The sequence below is a fragment of the Homo sapiens genome, chromosome 19 (assembly GCF_000001405.40).
Source record: "Homo sapiens chromosome 19, GRCh38.p14 Primary Assembly".
Classification (NCBI taxonomy): Eukaryota; Metazoa; Chordata; class Mammalia; order Primates; family Hominidae; genus Homo; species Homo sapiens.
This window is the reverse complement of record NC_000019.10, coordinates 10,535,349-10,543,676: the sequence shown is the minus strand read 5'-3', so window position 1 is coordinate 10,543,676 and position 8,328 is coordinate 10,535,349. Positions and strand designations below refer to the sequence as shown.

The following is an 8,328-nucleotide window of genomic DNA, read 5'->3' as shown; positions in this document are numbered from 1 at the left end:
TAGTCCTGCCCCCCAGGGCCCAGGACTGACCTCCTGGCAGGCGCCCAGGTGAGACTGACTGCGCACCTGCAGCGCCCGCCCCGCCTCCCGAGTGCACCTGCGCGGGCTGCCGACCCAGAACCCGCCCTGGCCTGGGACCAAATCGACTAGTGTGACCTCCGGGGCAAGCCACGCCTCTCTGTGCCTCAGTTTCCTCATGTGCAAAATAGGGCTGGAATACACGCAACAACATAGACGAATCTTCATGAGAATTATGCTCAGGGAAAAAAAATCCAGGGGTAGGCAGGCGCGGGAGGGAGGGATGAATGAAGTGCTCCAGGAAAGTTTTTTTCAGTGTTTGTTTTGTCGAGACAGCATCTGGCTCTGTTGTCCAGACTGGAGTGCAGTGGCGCTTTCATAGCTCACTGCAGCCTCCAACTCTGATCCTCCAACCTCAGCCTCCAGAGTAGCTGAGACCGCAGACAGGAGCCACCATGCCTGGTTAATTTTTTAAATTTTATTTGTAGATAAGGGGTCTCGCTATGTTGTCTAGGCTGGTCTCAAACTCCTGGCTTCATGAGATCCTCCCGCCTCAGCCTCCCAAATGCTGGGATTACAGGCGTGAGCCACCACCTCAGGCAGGAAGACATTTTTTGGAGCTGTGGATAAATTCAGTATCTTAACTGTAATAGTGGCTTCACAGGTGTGAAAACTCATCAGATTGTACGCTTAAAATTTGCATGGTTTTGTATATGTCTATTATACCTCAATAAGGCTGAAAAAAAACCTCTTTGTTTTAAAAAGTAATCAGTTAACTTTTTATAGAGACAAGTTCTCTCTATGTTGCCCAGGCTGGCCTGAAACTCCTTAGCTCAAGTGATCCTCCTGCCTCAGCCTCCCAAGTAGCTGAGACTACAGGAAAATATTTTATTTTATTTTATTTTTTAATTTTTTTTCTCTAACCTTGCGAGGCCCAAACAGATTTTGGTTGTTGTTGTTGAGACAGGGTCTTGCTCTGTCATCCAGACTACAGTGCAGTGGCCTGATCATGGCTCACTGCAGTCTCAACTGCCGAGGCTTAAGCAAGTCTCCTGCCTCAGCCACCTGAGTAGCTAGGACTATAGGCACATGCCACCACCCCTGGCTAATTTTTTTTTTTTTTTTTGAGACGGAGTCTCGTTCTGTTGCCCAGGTTGGAGTGCAATGGCGCGATCTCGACTCACTGCAAGCTCTGTCTCCCAGGTTCACACCATTCTCTTGCCTCAGCCTCCCGAGTAGCTGGGACTACAGGCGCCCGCCACCACGCCTGGCTGATTTTTTGTATTTTTAGTAGAGACGAGGTTTCATCGTGTTAGCCAGGATGGTCTCGATCTCCTGACCTCGTGATCCGCCCACCTCGGCCTCCCAAAGTGCTGGGATTACAGGCGTGGGCCACCGTGCCTGGCCACCCCTGGCTAATTTTTAAAAATTTTTCTGTAGAGATAGAGTCTCCCAGTGTTGCTCAGGCTAGTCTTGAACTCCTGGGCTGAAACGATTAGCCTCAGCCTCCCAAAGTTCTAGGATGACAGACATGAGCCACTGCACCTGGCCAGGGACAATTTTTATTTTTTATTTTATTTTCATTTATTTATGTATTTATTTTGAGATGGAGTTTCGCTCTTGTTGCCCAGGCTGGAGTGCACTAGTGCGATCTTGGCTCACTGCAACCACCACCTCTCAGGTTCAAGCAATTCTGCTGCCTCAGCCTCCTGAGTAGCTGGGATTACGGGCGCACACCACCACGCCCAGCTAATTTTTGTATTTTTAGTAGAGATAGGATTCCACCACGTTGGCCAGGCTGGTCTCGAACTCCTGACTGAGGTGATCCGCCAGCCTCGGCCTCCCAAAGTGCTGGGATTACAGGCATGAGCGATTGCACCCAGCCAGGAAAAAGTTTTAAATGTGTCTAACTCATAAAGATGTATGGGAATGAGCTGAACTTACCAATGTAAAGTGCTTAGAGTGGTATTTGAGGAACAGTTGGGGCTCAGTGAGAGCCAACTGCATGATGACAATGCAGTGACCCTGTGAGCCATGGAGAGGGTGGCCTCTAGTGGCCAGCCCCGGGGCTCTGTCCTCAGCTCTCTGAAGGAGGTAAGAAAGATTTGAATGAGGGTGTGATCCAAGAAGGAGAAGGCACAAAAGGGGCAGTCACCTCCCTGACTTTCCTTTTTTCCCCTCTCCTCCCAGTCGCCTTCAATCACAATTGACCCCTTTCTCTTTCATTAATTTATTAATTTATTGATTTATTTTATTTTATTTTTTTGAGACAGAGTCTTGCTCTGTAGCCCAGGCTGGAGTGCACTGGCACAATCTCAGCTCACTGCAACCTCCGCCTCCCAGGTTCAAGCAATTCTCCTGCCTCAGCCTCTGGAGTAGCTGGGATTACAGGTGTGAGCCACCACACCCGGCTAATTTTATATTTTTAGTAGAGACAGAGTTTCACCATGTTGACCAGGCTGGTCTTGAACTCCTGACCTCAGGTGATCTGCCCGCCTGGGCCTCCCAAAGTGCTGGGATTACAGGCTTGAGCCACTGCAACCAGCCAAGTGCACCCTTTCTCAAACTCAACAGAGCCAATGCCACCTCAGAGTCTTTGCACTTGCTGTTCCCTCTGCCCAGACCACGTTTCTTACCATGGCTCTCCGTCACCTCCTTCAGGTCTTTTTTTTTTTTTTTGGCAGGGTCTCACTTTGTTGCCCAGGCTGGAGTGCAGTGGCACGATCATAACTCACTGCAACCACGACCTTCTGGGCACCAGTGATCCTCCTGCCTCCTGAGTAGCTGGGATTACAGGCATGTGCCACCACACCCAGCTAATTTTTATATTTTTAGTAGAAATGGGGTTTCACCATGTTGGCCAGGCTGGTCTCGAACTCCTGACCTCAAGTAATCCACCCACCTCAGCCTCCCAAAGTACTGGGATTACAGACGTGAGACACTGTGCCCGGCCGCAAGTCTTTATTCAAATATCACCCCTACACGAAGATTACCACTCTCAAAATTCTCCCCCATCTCCATCCTTGGTCTCCTTCTCTTCCCTGCCTTTTTCCCCCTCCCCGCCGCATGGGAGTAGTTATCACAACCTTACTGTCTTTATCCCCTTGGGCTGCTGTGACAAATACCATAGCCTTGGGGGCTAAAACAACACACCTTTGCTTCTCACAGTTCTAGAGGCTAGAAAGTCCCAGATCAGGGTGCCAGCATGGTTCTTGGTGGGATTCTCTTCTATTTTTTGTTTTGTTTTGTTTTTTTGTTTTAGATGGAGTTTTTGCCCAGGCTGGAGTGCAATGGCAATCTCGGCTCACCACAACCTCTGCCTCCCGGGTTCAAGCGATTCTCCTGCCTCAGCCTCCCGAGTAACTGGGATTACAGGCGCCCACCACCACACCTGGCTAATTTTTTGTATTTTTGGTAGAGACAGGGTTTCTCCATGTTGCTCAGGCTGGTCTCGAACTCCCGACCTCAGGTGATCTGCCTGCCTTGGCCTCCCAAAGTGCTGGGATTACAGGCGTGAGCCACCGCGCCCAGCTGAGATTCTCTTCTTATCTTATATCCTCTCACCTGCCTTCCTTTCTTTTTTTTTTTTTTTTCTCACAGTCTCACTCTGTTGCCAGTACTGGAGTGCAGTGGCATCATGATCTTGGCTCACTGAAGCCTTGACATCCTGGTCTCAGCCGGGCTCGGTGGCTCATGCCTGTAATCCCAGCACTTTGGGAGGCCGAGGCAGGCAGATCACGAGGTCAGGAGATAAAGACCATCCTGGCTAACACAGTGAAACACAAAAAATTAGCCAGGTATGGTGGCGGGCGCCTGTAGTCCCAGCTACTCAGGAGACTGAGGCAGGAGAATGGTGTGAGGGCCCCACCCTCAAGATTGCGTCCAACCCCAATTCCCTTTTTTTTTTTTTTTGAGACAGAGTCTCACTCTGTTGCCCAGGCTGGAGTACAGTGGCGCGATCTTGGCCCACTGCAACCTCGACCTCATGGATTCAAGTGATTCTCCTGCCTCAGCCTCCCGAGTAGCTGGGATTACAGGCACGCGCCACCACACCCAGCTAATTTTTTGTATTTTTAGTAGAGACAGGTTTCGCCACGTCGGCCAGGCTAGTCTTGAACGCCTGACCTCAGGGTATCTGCCCTCCTCAGCCTCTCAAAGTGCTGGGATTACAGGCATGAACCACTGTGCCCAAGTGTATTATTTTCGAGACAGAGTCTCACTCTGTCACCCAGGCTGGAGTTCAGTGGTTCAATCAGGACTCATGGCAGCCTTGACCTCCTGGGCTCAAGTGATCCTGCCTGAGCCTCCTGAGTAGCTGGCACCGTGGGCACACACAACCGCATTCCATTGGAGTTGACCACTTTGAGCCCAGTGTAGGCCCAGGGGTCTTTGGATTCTGCACTCAGTACAGACTGTGCAGCCAGATGGCTCAGATAAGGGACCTCGCCACTCTCTGCCTCAGTTCCTTTTTCTTTGAGAGATGGGGTTGGGCAACTCGCTCGGGTCCCCTTCCACACTGTGGAAGCTTTGTTCTTTCGCTCTTTGCAATAAATCTTGCTACTGCTCACTCTTTGGGTCCACACTGCCTTTAAGAGCTGTAACACTCACCGCAAAGGTCTGTAGCTTCACTCCCGAGCCAGCGAGACCACGAACCCACCAGAAGGAAGAAACTCCGAACACATCTGAACACCAGAAGGAACAAACTCTGGACACGCCACCTTTAAGAACTGTAACACTCACCGCGAGGGTCCGCGGCTTCATTCTTGAAGTCAGTGAGACCAAGAACCCACCAATTCCGGACACATTTTGGCGACCCAGATGGGACCTTCGCCAATTGCCGAGCGGTGAGACCATCGCCTATCGCTGAGCGGTGAGACAATCACCTATCGCCAAGCAATGAGCAAATGGAGACACAAAGAGATGACATAATGTGGCCAAGGTTTCATTCTAGTAAGTTGCTGATCTGGAATTCTAACCCAGGAAGTCCTGTCTCCGGCGTCTATGATTTCACCCACTACACTATACTTCTTAAGCATGTCAAGAAAGTGAGAACTTTAAATTGATTTAATTAGACTAACTATGAAAGTCTGAAAATAAAATTGATTCATTGGAAAAAAAAAAAAAGAGAGAGAGACGGGGTCTCACTCTGTTGCCCAGGCTGAAGTGTGATGGTGCAATCATTGCTTCCTGCAGCCTTGAATCCCTGGGCACAAGTGATCCTCCTGCCTCAGCCTCTCAAAGTGTTAGGATTACAGGGGTGAGTCACGGTGCCCGGCCACTGTCTTAGTTTCTTTATCTGCCAAATGGGGTAGTGATACTGCCTCCCTTCTAGTGTTTGGGAGAAGGATGAAGTGAATATGCACAATGCTTTGAACAGTGCCAGGCACATGGTCTCCACCACGTCAGTGTGAATTATGACTGTTCTTGTTATTCTTATTCCCACCACTGCCCTCCTGGGTCCAGCATCCATCATCCTAGTCCCTGGTCTCTTAGCTGCTATGTCTGACCCCTCAAATCCACAAACAGCTAGAAGGACCTAGCTGTTTTTTAATTTTAATGTTTTTTTTTTTTTTTTGAGACAGGGTCTTGCTGTGTTGCCCTAGCTAGCTGGTCTCCAACTCCTGAGCTCAAAGAATCCTCCGACTTCAGCTTCCCGAGTAGCTGGGAATACAGGTACACACCACCCCACTCAGCTTAGAACGGTATTTTTATAAACAAATTCCATCATGCCAAAAAAATCTGGAAAAGAATCCGGCGGCTGTGGCTCACACCTGTAATCCTAGCACTTTGGGAGGCCGAGGCGGGCAGATCACTTGAGGTCAGGAATTCGAGACCAGCCTAGACAGTGTGATGAAACCCTGTCTCTATTAAAAATACATAAATTAGCTGGGTATAGTGGCAGGCACCTGTAGTTCCAGCTATTCGGGGGGCTAAGGCAGTAGAATCGCTTGAGCCCGGGAGGTGGAGGTTGCAATGAGCTGAGATTGCTCCACTGCAGTCCAGCCTGGGCGACGGGATTGAGACTCCGTTTAAAAAAACAAAACAAAACAAAAACAAACAAACCAAAAAAAAAAAACCAACCCAAAATTGGAGAAGTACAATCCAGTAGAAAAATAACATGAAATATAATTTTCAATATTCTATTAGCCACATTTTTTAAAAGTAAAAAGAAACAGGTGATATCAATTTTAATAATTCTTTTTATTTATCCCAACGCATCCAAAATGTTATCATCTCAACATGTAATGAAATAGAGACAAGGTCTCTGTCACCCAGGCTGGAGTGCAGTAGTGCAATCAGTACTCACTGCAGCCTTGACCTCCTGGGTTCAAACGATCCTGCCTCAACCTCCCGAGTAGGGGGGACCATGGGCACACACCACTACATTCTGTTGGAGTTGACCACCTTTTTTTTTTTTTTGAGTTGGAGTTTCCGTCTTGTTGCCCAGGCTGGATTGCAGTGGCATAATCTCGGCTCATTGCAACCTCCGCCTCCTGGGTTCAAGCGATTCTCCTGCCTCAGCCTCCCTAGTAGCTGGGATTACAGGCGCGTGCCACCATGCCCGGCTAATTTTTGTATTTTTAGTAGAGACAGTGTTTCACCACGTTGGCCAGGCTGGTCTCAAACTCCTAACCTCATGTGATCCACCTGCCTCAGCCTCCCAAAGTGCTAGGATTACAGGTGTGAGCCATTGCCCCTGGCCGTGGAGTTGACCACTTTGAGCCCAGTGTAGAGGCCAGGGGTCTTCGGCTTCTGCACTCAGTCTGGTGAGACTGACCCAGGTCTCTCAACAATTTCTTCCCTTCCTCCTGTCTTCCTCCTTCTGCTCCCAAAAGATTCGTGCCCTTAAAAAAGCCAGTCACCACGCACCTACACCTCAGGAACCCCCTGGCTGGGCTGTCCCAGGCTTTCCAAGATTGAACTCGTAGCCACACTTTGGATGCCAAATAACTGTCACTGTCACAGGTCAGCCTGGATTGTGGGTTGAATTCTCTGTCCTCCAAATATTCATGTGGAAGTCTTAACCCTGGGTATCTGTGAATGTGCCTTTATTTGGAAATAGAGTCTTTGCAGATTGATTGATTAATTTTTAGAGACTCGATCTTGCTCTATGGCCCAGGAGTGCAGTGGTGTAATCATAGCTCACTGTAGCCTCCAACTACAAGAATCAAGCTGTCCTCCTGCCTCAGCCTCCCGAGTAGCTGGGACTACAGGAGCACACCACCACGCCTGGCTAATTTTAAAAAATTTTTGTCAAATGGGTGGGGCACAGTGGCTCACGCCTGTAATCCCAGTACTTTGGCAGGCTGAGGTGGGCGGATCACTTGAGGCCAGGAGTTCGAGACCAGCCTGGCCAACACGGCAAAACCCTGTCTCCACTAAAAATACAAAAATTAGCTGAGCGTGGTGGCAGGCACCTGCACTAAGGAGGCTGAGGCAGGAGAATCGCTTGAACCTGGGAGGTGGAGGTTGCAGTGAGCCAAGATTGTGCCACCGCACTCCAGCATGGGCAACAAGAGCGAAACTCCATCTCAAAAACAAACAAACAAACAAACAAACAAAAAGACCATGGGAAGCTAGGAAGGACCCAGCTATGAATTCCCCTCTAGAGCCTTCAGACAGGGCATAGCTCTACCACCAACCTTGACTTTGGACTTCTAGCTTCCAGAGCTGTGAGAGAATACACGTCTGTTTTAAACCACCTAGTTTGTGCGAATTAATTACTGCAAGCCTGGAAATGAATGGAGTCGGTTTCTCCCTCTTCTCCAGCAGGCCTCAGCTTGCCCACCCACAGCTCAGAGGCCTGTCCTGACCTCCAGCTTGGGCAAGTCGCCCTGTGTGTGTTCTCAGGTCCACCTGATCACACTTGCCATCATTCCTAATCAGCTGTGTCATTGCTTGTGAATCTGTAAGTCGGCTGTAAGAACAAAACTCTCAGCCGAGTGCAGTGTCTCACACTTGTAATCCCAGGACTTTGGAAGGCCAGGGCAGGAGGATCACTTGAGCCAAGGAGATTGAGACCAGCCTGGGCAACATAGTGAGACCATGGTCTCTACAAAAAAAAAAAAAAAAAAAAAAAAAAAAAAGCTGGGCAGGGTAGCACTCATCTGTAGTCCCAGCTACTTCAGAGGCTGAGGTGGGAGCATTGAGCCCAGGAGGTGGAGGCTGCAGTGAGCTGTGAGTGCGCCACTGCACTCCACTCCAGCCTGGTTACCAGAGAGAGACAGACCCTGTCTCAAAAAAAAGAATATCCATTATGGCCAGGCACGGTGGCTCATGACTGTAATCCCAGCACTTGCGATGCTGAGG

General features: G+C 49.5%; 2 annotated features.

Moving 5' to 3' along the window:
* Window positions 8-57: a silencer, noted in NCBI's record as "silent region_10079". NCBI's record gives its function as "represses an Ori minimal core promoter by ATAC-STARR-seq in GM12878 lymphoblastoid cells {active_cell/tissue: GM12878}" and the evidence as "EXISTENCE:reporter gene assay evidence [ECO:0000049][PMID:35858748]".
* Window positions 7,777-7,977: a silencer, noted in NCBI's record as "peak3353 fragment used in MPRA reporter construct". NCBI's record gives its function as "represses an SCP1 promoter by STARR-seq MPRAs in K562 erythroleukemia cells {active_cell/tissue: K562}" and the evidence as "EXISTENCE:reporter gene assay evidence [ECO:0000049][PMID:32103011]".